Below are 17,187 nucleotides of genomic sequence, written 5' to 3' on the forward strand. Positions count from 1 at the left end.
TAGCTGGAATTACAGGCGCGCACTGCCATGCCTAGCTAATTTTTGTATTTTTAGTAGAGATGAGGTTTTGCCATGTTGGCCAGGCTGATCTTGAACTCCTGGCCTTAAGTGATCCATCCACCTCAGCCTCCTAAAGTGTTGAAATTACAGGCATGAGCCGTGGTGCCCGGCTGCATATCCCTAATGAGCAATCCTGTTGAGCGTCCTTTCAGGTGCTTCCTTGCCATTCATATATTTTTTTGGTTGTGTTCAAACTTTTGTCTATATTTTTGTTAAATTGTTGTATTATTAAGTTGTAAAGGATACAAATCCTTTATCAGATATATGTTTCTTAAATATTTTTTCTCACTCCATGGCTTGCCTTTTCAATTTATTTTTATTTATTTATTTTTTTGAGATGGAGTCTCACTCTGTCACCCAGGCTGGAGTGTGGTGCAATCTCGGCTCACTGCAAGCTCCGCCTCCCAGGTTCACGCCATTCTCCTGCCTCAGCCTCCCAAATAGCTGGGACTACAGGTGCCCGCCACCACGCCCGGCTAATTTTTTTGCATTTTTAGTAGAGATGGGGTTTCACCATGTTAGCCAGGATGGTCTCGATCACCTGACCTCGTGATCTGCCCGCCTCGGCCTCCCAAAGTACTGGGATTACAGGCGTGAGCCACCGCACCTGGCCATCTCTGGCTAATTTTAGGACTTGCTTTTTGTCACTTGCTTCCATCAATTTGATTATACGTGGTCTTGGTGTGATTTTCTTTGTATTTATTCTGCTTGTGCGTCATTGAGCTGCTTGGATCTAAGGGTTTATAATTTTCATCAAATTTTGAATAATATCAGCTGGTATTTCTTCAAATACTTTTTTACCAACCCCTTTTCTCCTCTCCTTCTTGGAGTCTAATTTTACATATTTTAGACAACTTGATATTGTCAAGTTGTCTCATGTCATCGATATTCAGTACTTTTTTAGCCTTTTTTCACCTCACACTTTATTTTAAATGGTTTCTATTGTTATTCAAGTTCTCATCTTTTCTTCTGCATGGTCTAACCTTCTGTTAATATTGTTCAAGATATTTTCATTTTATATACATTTCATTTCTAGAAGTTTCATTTGGGTCTTTTTATATCTTTCTTATCTCTTCTCACCATGTTCATGCCTTCCTCTACATTCTTGAAAAAATGGAAGACATTTATCCATTTTAATATCCTTGTCTGCTAATTCTATCATCATTGTCATTTCTGGGCCTGATTTTATTGTTTGATTGTTCTCCTGAGAGTCATATTTTCCTGCTGCTTTGTATGGCTAGTAATCTTTTTCTTTTTAATGGGCTTTATTTTTTAGGACACTTTTAGATTTTTTAATTTTACAGAAAAACTGAGAAGATAGTATAGAGTTTTTTATATGCCCCATCCTCACTTTTCTCTATTATTAACATCTTAGATTTAACATTTTTAACAACTAATGAACCAAATTGATACATTATTAACTGAAATCCATAGTTCCTTTAGATTTTCTTAGTTTTTACCTAATGTCATTTTTCTGTTTTAGGTTTCCATCTAAGGTGCCACATTACACTAAGTTGTCATTTTCTTTAGGTGCCCCTTGGCTGTGACAGTTTCTCAGGCTTGCCTTATTTTTTATGACTTAGATAGTTTTGAGGAGTACTGGTCATATATTTTGTAAGGATGCTGCACTATTGCAATTTGTTTGATGTTTTCCTCATAAAATTTGGGTTATTAATTGGGAGAGGAAGACAGTAGCATTAAAGTGTCATTGTCATCACATCACATTAAGTGTTCATACCGTCAACATGATTTATGACTATTGATGTTGACTTTAATCACCTGGCTGAGGAAGTGTCTGTCAGGTTTCTCCACTGTACTCTTTTTCCCTCCTTCTATACTTGTATACTTTGGAAGGCAGTCATTGTGCACAGCCCACGCTTAAGGAGGGGATAGTTATGCTCCCTCTCCCTGAGGGTAGTGTATTAATGTAAATTATTTGAAATTTTGCTGCCCTGGAGATTTGTCTCTTCTGGTTGGTAATTTTTTACTGGATGCCAAATATGATGAATTTCATATTGTTTGTACTGATGAATTCATATTGGTGAATTTTGTATTTGCTGGATTTTGTTGTAGTTCTTTCAGTTCTATTGAATTTAACTCTGGCATGCAGTTAACATGGTATGACATCATTTTGTTCCTTCTGAGGCTTAAATAAAGCCTAGTTAGAGTGGCTCAAGAGCAGCCTTTAATCTAGGGCTAACTTAGCCCATTTTCTAAAGTAATATACCCTTCTGATTACCCTACCTGACGTTGACATATTACGACATTTTTCCATTCTGGTTGGCAAGATTGAAAATTATTCCCAGCCTTGTGTGAGCTCCAGAAATTGTTCAGTCTATTGATTTCTGGAGGTTCTTTCTCTGGCCTTGACGAGTTTCACTGCATGCATGTGCAGATTAGTACTCAGCCACAGCCTTGAGAGAATCCCTTTGTAGATGTTTGTAAGTTTCTGTGAAGTTCCCTCCTCTGTGTTACTCTGCTTAGCAAATTGTAGCTGCCTTGGTATGACAGAGTTTTTCTTCCTGTATACTTTGCTCTGTAAAGCCAAACTTCACTTCTAGCAATCTTTTAAAATGCAAACTGATTTTTAAATTTTTGGTATAATTTTACATCAAGAAAACCAAATGAGATTTATTTAATATATGACTATTTATTAATAATGTATTATTTATCCATATACTCTCCCTCTATACAGAGTGGGAAATTGTTTTTCTATGGTAACTGTGGTCAGACCTTTGTAAAATATATTCCATACTTTTTATTTCTAAGTCTTTGCTTATTTTGTAGATCCATATATTCTCCTTTTCTGCCAGCCTTATAAATTAGGCTGTTGCTTTAGAGCAGGAGCTGGCACTTTTCTGTAAAGGTTTGAAGAGTAAATATTTTAGGCCTTGCAGGTGTATGGTCTTTGTTGCTGCTACTTAACTCTGCTCTTGTAGTGAAAAAGAAGCTACAGACAACATATAAATGAATGGTCATAAATGTGCTCCAATAAAACTTTACTTACAAAGTAGGCAGTGGGTCAGATTTGACCTGTTGGTTGTAGTTTGCCTACTCTAGCTTAGGGAATTTTTCAATTTAAAATATTTGCATGAACAAATGCCCAAATAATGTGGAGTGAACCATATGGGGAAAAAGCATTCTAGGACAAGGGAAGAAATTATAAGGACCCTGAAGTAGGAATGATCTTCATTATGTTCAAGGAACTGCCAAAAGACAAGGGTGGATGAATCAAAGTAAATGAGGGAAAGTGTGGTAGGAGATGAAGTAGAGAGGTAGGTAAATCATGTGGCTCTTTTTTCCTCTATAAGGACTCTGGATTTTATCTCAGATGTGATGGTAAACATAAGAGTATGCTGAGCAGGGAAATGGCTTGATCTCATTCATGATATGTGTAGAATAGGGTGCAGATGGGCAAGAGAGGAAACAGAAGAGTAAAAAGCTATTGCAGTAGTTCCAGGCCAGTGATATTTCTGGAAGTAGTCAGAAGTGTTTGGGCACAAGATATATTTTGAAGGTGGAGCTGACAGAACTTTTCGTTATATGAACGTGGCATGAGAAGGAAAGAGAGGACAAAAAGCTGACTCATGGGAATCTTCAGAGCCAGTGCAGGCTGAACTAGCTAGAGATGTGTCAGAGGCTTAGCAAAGAGAGCAGAGTGGGATTCCAAAACGTTGCTAAAAAGTCTTTATGGTACCTCCAAAGAAAACCCAGTCCTCACATCAGAAAGATTAACAACCCAAAGTGAATGGGGATATGTAAGGGGATAGGGATTTAGCCTATATGGAAAAATTCAAGATTCTTAATTCTTCAAAGCCTCTTGTTGGAAAGAGAAGTCCCTGGGATAATGGAAAAGACTCAGGCTTTTCTGAGAAGATAGAGTTAGACTAGAGTTCATGACTAGCCTGGCCAACATGGTGAAATCCTGTCTCTACTAAAATTACAAAAAATATCAGCTGAGCGTGGTGGTGCATGCCTGTAATCCTAGCTACTCAGGAGGCTGAAGCAGGAGAATTGCTTGAACCCAGGAGGCGGAGGTTGCAGTGAGCCGAGGTTGTGCCACTGCACTCCAGCCTGGGGGACAGAGCAAGAATCTATCTCAAAAAAAACAAAACAAAACAAACAAACAAACAAAAAAAAAACAGAGAGAGAGAAACTAGATTGATTCTGCTTCCAAGGATAAATAAATCCAATAACAACAAATGCATGCATACATGTATCTGTGTCCATGGTGTGCACACACATAGCTATTAGGTCTCCTTTATCAAATTTCATGTCAAGGTCCAATGATCTCACATCTGGAATTTGTGTCATCCTCTTGCTGGTCAGCTTTCAACCTCTCTTCATTTAGTTTAGATATTCTTTTTTATACTGCTGCCCTTTGAATTGTCTAAACCAATGCTTGTAAAATTATCTGTGATGAAGGGCCAATCAAAAAAATCTCAATCTGTCATGGACTGATACTTTTGTAGAATACAATATAAATTACTTGAAAAAGTAAAATTAAAAAAAGCAAAGATTACAAAGTACAAGCCCAATTTTGTAATTATTAGATTCAACTGACATAAAATTACTGTCAATTTGCTATGAAAGTTTTTAAAAGTTTACTGTTAATTTCTATACTATCTTTGTCCGAGACTGTTAACCACATGGTATGTGGACCACATTATGAGTAGCAATGACATAAACCACTCTAGATCTCAAAAATCTCATTATCTGTTAAACCAAAATAAACCTCTCACTATTGTCCTCTAAACTCTGTACCAGTTAGTTCAGTCTTGCCTGTGTCTAACAGGCAAGCTCTTGTGTTCTCTTCCACACAGGGGACTGTTTTTAATCCATTTCTTTCTTTCCGTTTATTCAAAACATCCTAAATACATCTCATGTATATACAACTGAATACTTACCTTCCTCAGAAAGCTTTCCTAGAACATCCTTACCTAATTTTTACCCCTTTGGCATTTGTATTTTCTTATATTTATTAGTATAGGTTTATATTATTTGTATTGTTTCCTTTAGTAGAGCATAAATTACTTCTGAGTAAACCCTGATTTTTACCCTAAATATAAAAATGTCTAGAATATAGTAACATGGATACCCAAACAATAAAAAGCATGTAAGTGGCCAGGTGCGGTGGCTCATGCCTGTAATCTCAGCACTTTGAGAGGCCTAGGCAGGTGGGTTGCTTGGGGCCAGGAGTTCAAGGCCAGTCTGGCCAACATGGCGAAACCCTGTCTCTACTAAAAAATTACAAAGATTAGCCAGGTGTGGTGGCACACACCTGTAATCCCAGCTATTTGGGGGGCTGAGGCACGAGAATTGCTTGAACCCAGGAAGCGGAGGTTGCAGTGAGCCGAGATCGCACCACTGCACTCCAGCCCTGGGCAACCTTGTCTGCCTCAAAAAAAAAAAAAAAAAAAAAAAAAAAAAAAGCATATAAGTAATTGCTTGCCTGTCTAAGAGTCTATGTGTATGGGGAGATAAAGTACTATTGAATATGAAATACTATCTTTTACTGTGGGAATTTGTGTTTACCCCCCTTTCTCCCATGCTCTGCTTTCTTTTATTTTCTTACTAGGCCTGTCTCCACTAACTCTGGACCCTAAAACAGCTCACCCAAATCTGGTGCTCTCCAAAAGCCAAACCAGCGTCTGGCATGGTGACATTAAGAAGATAATGCCTGATGATCCTGAGAGGTTTGACTCAAGTGTGGCTGTACTGGGCTCAAGAGGCTTCACCTCTGGAAAGTGGTACTGGGAAGTAGAAGTAGCAAAGAAGACAAAATGGACAGTTGGAGTTGTCAGAGAATCCATCATTCGGAAGGGCAGCTGTCCTCTAACTCCTGAGCAAGGATTCTGGCTTTTAAGACTAAGGAACCAAACTGATCTAAAGGCTCTGGATTTGCCTTCTTTCAGTCTGACACTGACTAACAACCTCGACAAGGTGGGCATATACCTGGATTATGAAGGAGGACAGTTGTCCTTCTACAATGCTAAAACCATGACTCACATTTACACCTTCAGTAACACTTTCATGGAGAAACTTTATCCCTACTTCTGCCCCTGCCTTAATGATGGTGGAGAGAATAAAGAACCATTGCACATCTTACATCCACAGTAATGAGTCATAATATTATACAAATTCAGAGTGTTATTAAAGAGGTATTGAAATATTTTACCAGTCTCACTGGATTCTCTTCTCAATTTTTGGGGAACTATGGAATAATGAAAAGAGGATGCGCAAATCAAATTCCATTCTTTCAGTATCCTAAATGGATTTCACTGGAGGCTTTCAAGGTATCATTCTTCTCTGGGGTCTTTTATGACACAGGAGCCACTCTCATGAGAGTGATCATCATGCTACTGTTACTGGAGCAAACTGCAACTTGAGTTTGTGATGTTTGGGAACCCTTTTCAAATATGCCCAGAAATGATCATGTTGTCATATTTTCCAGCTTAATGACCCTTAGCAGATGAATTTTCAGGTGTTCACTCTTCTTACTATTTTTTGATATACATTTTCATCGTATTTCTTTTTTTAGAACTTACTGCTGTAATTTTATTTTTTTGAGACAGAGTCTCGCTCTGTTGTCTAGGCTGGAGTGCAGTGGCATGATCATGGCTCACTGCAGCCTCAACCTCCTGGGCTCAAGCAATCCTCCCATCTCAGACCCTGAGTAGCTGGGACTATTGGCGCACGCCACCACAAGTAGAGATGGGGTTTCATCATGTTGCCCAGGCTTTTCTGGAACTCTTGGGCTCAAGAGATCCTCATGCCTCAGCTTTCCAACGTGTTGGAATTATAGGTGTGAGATACCATGCCTGTCCTGTAATTTTAAACCATGCTCCACAGGCTTAAATAAAAAAGTAGGAAATGATCTGGACTAGTTTATAATCTTGTCTTGAATTCTCTCAAGATACATTTTAGTCCAGCAAATCTGTAATTCTTTCCTTTCCTTTCTCAGTTCCATTTCCCTGCTTTATCTATCTGCAGGAGACATGCATATATATATATATGTATGCAGTCTGAGAGATGGGGTCTCACTATGTTGCCTAGGCTAGTCTTGAATTCCTGACCTCAAGCATCCTCCCACCTTGACCTCCTAAAGTTCTAGGATTACAGATGTGAGTCACCACACCCAACCTCCATCTACTTTTGACTACGTCCTTTTTCATCATTCCTGCCTATAATTTAAGTAGTATTTTGCATCTTGTTCTCTCCAATATACTCATCCTTGAGCTTTTTCCAAGTCTAAAATTCTTAACATCATTGATCTCAGCAGTACTCTTGATTGACTGTCCCTATTTCCTTTCTTTGGAAGTCCTCATCTAAATGGGCTTTATTCTCTATAGTTGACAGTTTTGGGGGGACTTTTTAGGACCTTCAGCATTGGCCCTCTAAAATTATAATTAGCACAGTTTTTTTTTGGGGGGGGTCAGGGCAAAAGCTTAAATGTATGTATGGGAAAAATAATGCAAATACTACAGACAATATTCATGTAGTTTGTTATATACAATATGCATACATTTACAACTGATTTGGATAAACAGCCATAACAGGATTAAGACTACATTTAAGAAACTGCCTTGTTTTTTTTGAATTCACTTCAATCAGAACGTAGTAAGAACATATTTTGTGCCTGGAATCTTGCTTAATGTCTTAAAGGGTATAAAAGCAGCATAAAAAGAAAAAGAAAGGCATGCCAATAGAAAGTAATCTGACTAAAAATTAATTCACTTCTAAGGTATAAAAAGTTACAGCTGAAATATATTATTTTTTAAGACAAAGTCTTACTCTGTCACCCAGGCTGGAGTACAGTGGCACAAACACGGCTCTTTGCAGCCTGGGACTCTTGGATCCTCCCACCTCAGACTCTCGAGTAGCTAGGATTATAGGCGCAGGCAACTACGCCCAACTAAATTTTTATTTTTAGTAGAGACGAGGTCTCACTATGTTACCCAGGCTTGAAATATGTTATTCTTAAGATGCAATGGTTCTTAACCCTGGATACACATTAGGTTCATGTAGGAAGCTTTAAAAAAATTTAGATGCCTGGAATCCAGCCAAGACCAATTAAGGAAAGATCTCTATCAAGTGAAACCCTGCTAGAGTCCCAGTGTACAGTAGCTACAAGCCACTAGTTTCTAAAAGCTCTCAGGCGATTCTAATGTGTGGCTGGGGCAGACAGCCACTGAACTAAAGCAACATGTTTTATTTATTTTTACTTTAAAAATTTTTTTCCACAAGTTATTGGGGTATAGGTGGTATTTGGTTACATGAGTAAGTTCTCTAGTGGTGATTTGTGAGATTTTGGTGCACCCATCACCTGAGCAGTGTACACTGCATCATATTTGTAGTCTTTTATCCCTTGCCCCCCTCCCACTCTTCAAGTCCCCAAAGTCCATTGTATCATTCTTATGCCTTCACATCCTCACAGCTTAGCTCCCATATATCAGTGAGGACATACAATGTTTGGTTTTCCATTCCATGAGTTACTTCACTTAGAATAATAGTCTCCAATCTCATTGAGGTCACAGCAAATGCCGTTAATTCATTCCTTTTTATGGCTGAGTAGTATTTCAGCATATAAATATACCACAGTTTTCTTTATCCACTTGTTGATTGATGGGCATTTAGGTTGGTTCCATGATTTTGCAATTGTGAATTGTACTGCTATAAACATGCATGTGAAAGTATCTTTTGCATATAATGACTTCTTTTCCTCTGGGTAGATACCCAGTAGTAGGATTGCTCGATCAAATGGTAGTTCTACTGTTGCGGGAAGTCAGGGATCCCAAACAGAGGGACCGGCTGGAGCCACGGCAGAGAAAACATAAATTGTGAAGATTTCATGGACATTTATCACTTCCCTAATAATACTCTTATAATTTCTTGTGCCTGTCTTAATCTCTTAATCCTGTTATATTCATAAGCTGAGGATGTACGTCACCTCAGGACCCTGTGATGATTGTGTTAACTGTACAAATTGATTGTAAAACGTGTGTTTGAAGAATATGAAATCAGTGCACCTTGAAAATGAACAGAATAATAGCGATTTTAGGGAACAAGGGAAGACAACCATAAGGTCTGACTGCCTGTGGGGTCAGGCAAAAAGAGCCATATTTTTCTTCTTGCAGAGAGCCTATAAATGGACGTGAAAGTAGGAGAGATATCGCTAAATTCTTTTCCTTGCAAGGAATATAATATTAAGACCCTAGGAAAAGAATTGCATTCCTGGGGGAGGTCTATAAACAGCCGCTCTGGGAGTGTCTGTCCTATGCTGTTGAGATAAGGACTGAGATACGCCCTGGTCTCCTGCAGTACCCTCAGGCTTACTAGGATTGGGAAACCCCAGCCCTGGTAAATTTGAGGTCAGACTGGTTCTCTGCTCTTGAACCCTGTTTTCTGCTAAGATGTTTATCCAGACAATACGTGCACTGCTGAACATAGACCCTTATCAGGAGTTCTGATTTTGCCCTAGTCCTGTTTCCTCAGAAGCATGTGATCTTTGTTCTCCTTTTTGCCCCTTGAAGCATGTGATCTTTGTGACCTACTCCCTGTTCATACACCCCCTCCCCTTTTGAAATCCCTAATAAAAACTTGCTGGTTTTGCGGCTCAGGTGGGCATCACAGACCTACTGATATGTGATGTCACCCCTGGCGGCCTAGCTGTAAAATTCCTGTCTTTGTACTCTTTCTCTTTGTTTCTCAGACTGGCTGACACTTAGGGAAAACAGAAAGAACCTACACCCCCGATATTCTACTTTTAGTTCTTTAAGGAATCTCCATACTGTTTCCCATAGTGGCTGTACTAGTTTACTTTCCCACCGGCAGTGTAGAAGTGTTCCCTGTTCATTGCATCCATGCCAACATCTACAGTTTTTTTTATTGTTTTGATTATGGCCATTCTTGCAGGAGTAAAGTGGTATTGCATTCTGGTTTTGATTTGCATTTCCCTGACCATTAATGATGCTGAGTATTTTTTTCATATGTTTGTTGGCAGTTTGTATATCTTCGTTTGAGAATTGTCTATTCATGTCCTCAGCCCACTTTTTGATGGGATTGTTTGTTTTTTTCTTACTGATTTGTTTCAGTTTGTTGTAGATTCTGGATATTAGTCCTTTGTCAGATGTATAGATTGTGAAGATTTTCTCCCACTCTATGGGTTGTCTGTTTACTCTGTCGACTGTTCCTTTTGCTGTGCAAAAGCTCTTTAGTTTAATTAAGTCCCAATTATTTATCTTTGCTTTGATTGCATTTGGTTTTGGGTTATTGGTCATGAAATCCTTGCCTAAGCCAATGTCTAGAAGGGTTTTTCCAATGTTATCTTCTAGAATTTTTATAGTTTCAGGTCTTAGATTTAAGTCCTTAATCTATCTTGGTTGATTTTTGTATAAGGTGAGAGATGAGGATCCAGATTCATTCTCCTACATGTGGCTAGCCAATTATCCCAGCACCATTTGTTGAAAAGGGTGTCCTTTCCCCACTTTATGTTTTTGTTTGTTTTGTTGAAGATCAGTTGGCTGTAAGTATTTGGGTTTATTTCCGGTTTCTCCATTCTGTTCCATTGGCCTATGAGTTTTTTTTTTTTTTTTTTTTGAAATACAGAGTCTCGCTTTGTCTTCCAGGCTGGAGTGCAGTGGCACGATATTGGCTCACTGCAAGCTCTGCCTTCCAGGCTCATGCCATTCTCCTGCCTCAGCCTCCTGAGTAGCTGGGACTACAGGCACCCGCCACCATGCCCAGCTAATTTTTTATTTTTTTTTTTAGTAGAGACGAGGTTTCACCGTGTTAGCCAGGATGGTCTTGATCTCCCGACCTTGTGATCCACCTGCCTTGGCCTCCCAAAGTGCTAAGATTACAGGCGTGAGCCACCATGCCCGGCCCTATGTGCCTATTTTTATACCAGTACCATGCTGTTTTGGTGACTATGGCCTCATAGTATAGTTTGAAATCAGGTAGTGTGATGCCTCCAGATTTGTTCTTTTTGCTTAGTCTTGCTTTGGCTATGTGGGCTCTTTTTTGGTTCCATATGAATTTTAGAATTGTTTTTTCTAATTCTGTGAAGAATAATAGTGGTATTTTGATGGGGATTGTACTGAATTTGTAGATTGCTTTTGGCAGTGTGGTCATTTTCACAATATTGATTCTACGCATCCATGAGCATGGGATGTTTTTCCGTTTGTGTCATCTATGTTTTTTTCAGCAGTGTTTTATAGTTTTCCTTGTAGAGGTCTTTCGCCTCCTTAGTTAGGTATATTTCTAAGTTTTTTTTTTTTTTCTGTAGCTATTGTAAAAGAGGTTGAGTTCTTAATTTGATTCTCCTCTTGGTCGCTGTTGGTGTATAGAAGAGCTACTGATTTGGGTACATTAATCTTGTATCCAGAAACTTTGCTGAATTCTTTTATCAGTTCTAGGAGCTTTCTGGAGGAGTCCGTAGGGTTTCCAAGGTAAATGATCAAATCGCCAGCAAACAGTGACAGTTTGACGTCCTCTTTACTGATTTGGATGCGCTTTCTTTCTTTCTCTCGTCTGATTGCTCTGGCTAGGACTTCCAGTACTATGTTGAAGAGGAGTGGTGAGAGTGGGCATCCTTGTCTTGTCCCAGTTCTCAGAGGAAATGCTTTCAACTTTTCCCTACTCGGTATTATGTTGGCTGTGGGTTTGGCATAGATAGCTTTTATTACATTGAGGTATGTCCCTTGTATGCCACTTTTGCTGAGAGTTTTAATCATAAATGGATGCTGGATTTTATCAAATGCTTTTTCTGCATCTATTAAGATGATCATGTTATTTTTGTTTTTAATTCTGTTTATGGGTGTATCACATTTATTGACTTGCATATGTTAAACCATCCCTGTATCCCTGGTATGAAATCCACTTGATCATGGCGGGGTTATCTTTTTGATATGTTGTTGGATTTGGTTAGCTAGTATTTTGTTAAGGATTTTAGCATCTATGTTCATCAAGGATACCAGTCTGTAGTTTTCTTTTTCGGTTATGTCCTTTCCTGGTTTTGGTATTTTAGGGTGATGCTGGCTTCATAGAATGAATTAGGGAGGGTTGCTTCTGTCTCTATCTTGTGGAATAGTGTCAAAAGGATTGGTACCAATTCTTCTGTGATGTCTGGTAGAATTCTGCTATGAATCCATCTGGTCTTGGGCTTTTTGTTTGTTTTTTGGGTTTTTGTTTTTGTTACTTTTTTTTTTTTTTGAGACGGAGTCTCGCTCTGTTGCCCAGGCTGGAGTGCAGTGGCACAGTCTTGGCTCGCTGCAACCTCCACCTCCCAGATTCATGCGATTCTCCTGCTTCGGCCTCCCAAGTAGTTGGGACTACAGACATGCATCACCATGCCCAGCTAATTTTTGTATTTTTAGTAGAGACAGGGTTTCGCCATGTTGGCCAGTCTGGTCTCAAACTCCTGACCTCAAGTTATCTATCTGTCCATCTTGGCCTCTCAAAGTGCTGGGATTACAGGCGTGAGCCACTGCATCCAGCCTCCTGGACTTTTCTTTGTGTTGGTAATTTTTTAATTACCATTTCAGTCTTGCTGCTTGTTATTGGTCTGTGCAGGGTATCTAATTCTTCCTGATTTAAGCAATGAGGGTTGTATTTTTCCAGGAATTTATCCATCTCTTTTAGGTTTTCTAGTTTATGTGCATAAAGGTGTTCATAGTAGCCTTGAGTGATCTTTTGTATTTCTGTGGTGTCAGTTGTAATATCTCCTGTTTCATTTCTTAATGAGGTTATTTGGATTTTCATTCCTCTTTTATTGGTTAATCTTGCTAAGGGTCTGAAATTTTATTTGTCTTTTGAAAGAACCAGATTTTTGTTTTACTTATCATTTGCATTTTTTTGTTTGTTTCAATTTCATTTAGTTCTGCTCTGATCTTGGTTATTTCCTTTCTTCTGCTGGGTTTGGGTTTGGTTTGTTCTTGTTTCTCTAGTTCCTTGAGGTGTGACCTTAGAATTAGATGTCAGTTTGTGTTCTTTCAGTCTTTTTTTTTTTTTTTTTTTGAGATGGAGTTTTGTTTTTGTTGCCCAGGCTGGAGTACAATGGCGCTGTCTCTGCTCACTGCAGCTTCCGCCTCCCGGGTTCCAGTGATTCTCCTGTCTCAGCCTCCTGGGTAGCTGGGATTACAGGTGTCTGCCACCACGCCTGGCTAATTTTTGTATTTTTAGTAGAGACAGGGTTTCACCATGTTGGCCAGGATGGTCTCAAACTCCTGACCTCTGCCCACCTGAGCTTCCCAAAGTGCTGGGATTACAGTCGTGAGCCACCATGCCTGGCCAAAATTTACTTTCTTATTTACATTTTTCCATACTGCTTGATGTTTTAGTTTGTGAATATATCATTTTACCAATATAATTTTTAATATTTAACTTTTAAAAGAACGAAAAAAGAGAAACAAAGTGACTCTAGATTAACTTTACTTTTTTTTTCTTTTTTGTTTTTTGTTTGACACGGAGTATTGCCCCGTCGCCAGACTGGAGTGCAGTGGCGAGATCTCGGCTACTGCAAGCTCCGCCTCCCGGGTTCAAGGGATTCTCCTGCCTCAGCCTCTCGAGTAGCTGGGACTACAGGCATGCACCACCACACCCGGCTAATTTTTGTATTTTTAGTAGAGACGGGGTTTCACCATGTTGGCCAGGATGTTCTCGATCTCCTGACCTTGTGACCCACCTTCCTCGGCTTTTCTGATTATAAAGAGAAAAACACTTATGAGACTATTATTTTAAAAATCTACAAAACAAAGAAGAGAGAACACTCAAAGTTTGCACAATGTCTTTGGAGATAATCTGTTAGTCCAGAATCAAATTTCCTAAAAGTATTAGGTGACCATAAAAGGAGAGAGAGGAAGCATGACCTCATCATGAGATGAGAAAAGTTGGCAATTAAAATTTACTGCTGATAAAGGGACAGAAAACATGTTAGAAGGGTTCATTACAAGATAATTTAATAAAAAATATTGAAAGCAGCAAAGAAGAAATCCAATGTTACAGAAATTTCATCTGTCCTGCAAAGGACATACCTGAAAAGCTGAGGAGCAATTCTGAAATATAAAGAAAAAACAAACAAACAAAAAAGAATAAATATCAAATAAATATGAATATAAGTAAAATAGGACAACTCACTAAATACCACGAGATAAATAAATAATATCTTCAGTTTGTAAGGGATCGTGTCAGAAATTCTGCATGCTATAGTAGACTGGTTTGCTAAAATGGCAATGAGCATCCCCTTGTTTTATGAGTCCCCTTTTGCAATGTGACTTTGCAGCATCTCCCATTAGGAGGTGGAGTCTATTTTCCCACTCCTGCAACATGAGCTGCTGGTCTCAGTTCCTTGCTTTGGACAATAGAACATGTTAGATGTTATGCTGTGCCAGTGGCAAGCCTAGGCCTTGCAAATGCATGTAATTTGCATGTTCTGTGCTTTCTCTTGGAAGCCTGCCAAGCTGCCATAGAAACAAGCCTGGCCTCGCCAGCTGCAGGATGAGTCCACAGAGGACAGAGCCATTCCAGATGAGGCCAGGCCCTAGGCAACCCGGCAGCTACTACAAATACATAATTGAGACCATCCTAGACCAGAAGTTTTCAGCAGAGCTCAGCCCAAATTGGAAACCTGCAGAATTCTGAGCTAAATAAAAGATTATTGTCTTAAATCGCTGATTTTTTTTTTTTTTTTTTTGAGACCGAGTCTCGCTCTGTCGCCCATGTTGGAGTGCAGTGGCGCGATCTCGGCTCACTGCAAGCTTTGCCTCCCAGGTTCACACCATTCTCCTGCCTCAGCCTACCCCGCAGCTGGGACTACAGGCGCCCGCCACCATGCCCGGCTAATTTCTTTGTATTTTTAGTAGAGATGGGGTTTCACCGTGTTAGCTAGGATGGTCTTGATCTCCTGACCTGGTAATCCCCCTGACTCAACCTCCCAAAGTGCTGGGATTACAGGCGTGAGCCACTGCGCCTGGCCAAGTTGCTGACTTTTTTTTTTTATTTGAGAAGGAGTTTCGCTCTGTCGCCCAGGCTGGAGCGCAATGGCGCAATCTCGGCTCACTGCAAGCTCCGCCTCCCGGGTTCAAGAGATTCTCCTGCCTCAGCCCCCAGGGTAGCTGGGATTACAGGCCCGCGCCACTACGCCTGGCTAATTTTTTTTGATTTTTAGTAGAGACGGGGTTTCATCGTGTTAGCCAGGATGGTCTCGATCTCCTGACCTCGTGATCCCCTCGCCTCGGCCTCCCAAAGTGCTGGGATTACAGGCATGAGCCACTGCGCCCAGCCATGAGTCGCTGACTTTTAAAAAATATTTTTAATTGACAAGGAAAAATTATATTTATGGTGTAGAACATTATATATATGTACTTTTATATATACATATATATACCTTTTTATACATACCTTTATGTTTATATAACTTTATAGATATATATACGCCTTTTTTGTGGTAAGAACACGTATAGTCTATTCTCTTAGCAATATTCAAATATATAATATATTGTTTTTTTTTTTGAGATGGAGTTTCGCTCTGTCGCCCAGGCTGGAGTGCAGTGGCACAGTCTCAGCTCACTGCAAGCTCCGCCTCCTGGGTTCACACCATTCTCCTGCCTCAGCCTCCCGAGTAGCTGGGACTACAGGTACCCACCACCACGCCTGGCTAATTTTTTGTATTTTTAGTAGAGACGGGGTTTCACCGTGTTAGCCAGGATGGTCTCGATCTCCTGACTTCGTGATCTGCCCGCCTCGGCCTCCCAAAGTGAATATATTGTTCTTAACTGCAATCACCATGGTGTAAGATAAATCTCTTTAACTTATTCCTTCTTTCTAACTGAAACTTTGTGTCCTTTGACCAACATCTCCCCAATACCCCCACCCCTCAGCCTCTGTTAACTTCTGATGTGGCTTTTAAGGCATCAATTGCTAATCAACACATTCACATTGACCCTAGCTGTCATTTATATGGGAAGGCAAAGAAAGATAATCTCAAGAATGAAAGAGACTTGAAAATACATTATCTTTTAAAAATTACTTGAAGATGGACATGAAACACTGACAAAAGATAAAGCAAAATTCAGATACCAAGACAGGAGAAATCATAATATAAAATTATTGGTAGAGACTAGTGATAACGACTAATACAAAATGACTAAATTATTATAAATATGACTTAATACAAATGATAATATGCTCATGAAATACATAATACAAAACTATGAAATTGCATAAAGCTAAATTAAAATGTAAGTTTGTATAAGTAAATAGAAAAGAAAAAGAGAGTACATAAAAGTATGTTCAAATTCTTATTTTAAATTATAAAGGGGACTTAAGGGAAACCAATTGTTATATCAAATAGATATACGTTATCACGTTTGAAAAAAATTTAAAGGATTAAAAATGTGGTGTTAAAATAGACTGAAATTAAAGTACCCAAACTGCTGGAGAAAAGAAAAACAATGAATGCATCTAACATACAGCAAAAGACAGAAATGACAAAAAAAGCAAAGCATGAACATCAACAACCAAATAAAAACAAAATGACAGAAGTAGGAGCAAATATATCATTTATTGCAATGAACATAGAAAGATTAAAATTCCGTATTAAATATAATTGATACAAAAAGAATCCAACTAAGCAAAAAGCCTAAAGTTGAAAAAATACATCAGACAAACACAAATAAACTGAAAGCTACAATTGAGTAATAAAATCAGACACTGCTGAATTCAGGGCAAATATATTAAAAAGGATTCTTAATGACTTTATAATTAACATTTTATAATGAAAAGAATAAAATATGTAGTTACATTATAAATATCCACAAATATGCATCAGTCAACATTGCTTCAATATATAGAATGAAAAGAAGTATAAAAACAAGACAAAATTGTTAAAAGCACAGTTATAATGCTATTGACAGATCAAATAGATATAAATAAACAAACATAAAACAAAAATTAATCCTGTAGTTGTTCATCTTTTTAGACTCTTGGACCCCTATGGGAATCTCATGAATTTTCTCTCCTCACTCAGAAGCATGTGCATATTGCCTGCATGTCAGGGAATTTATGGATACCTTGAAGCCCATTCATGAACTTCTTTGTGGCCCCCTATGGTTTACTAATACTAGATAA

The 17,187-nt window shown here is 38.9% G+C and overlaps 1 protein-coding gene across 5 annotated transcripts in view; it reads left to right on the forward strand.

Moving 5' to 3' along the window:
• TRIM69 (tripartite motif containing 69) overlaps window positions 1–6,235 on the forward strand; it is a 31,300-nt gene extending 25,065 nt beyond the window's left edge. For all 5 annotated transcript variants that reach the window (NM_182985.5, NM_001301144.2, NM_001301145.2 and 2 more), the window contains one exon: window positions 5,639–6,235. In NM_182985.5, the coding sequence (NP_892030.3) occupies window positions 5,639–6,180 (542 nt within the window). In that variant the 3' untranslated portion in view covers window positions 6,181–6,235. The remainder of the gene's footprint in view (window positions 1–5,638) is intronic.

The sequence above is a fragment of the Homo sapiens genome, chromosome 15 (assembly GCF_000001405.40).
Source record: "Homo sapiens chromosome 15, GRCh38.p14 Primary Assembly".
NCBI lineage: Eukaryota > Metazoa > Chordata > Mammalia > Primates > Hominidae > Homo > Homo sapiens.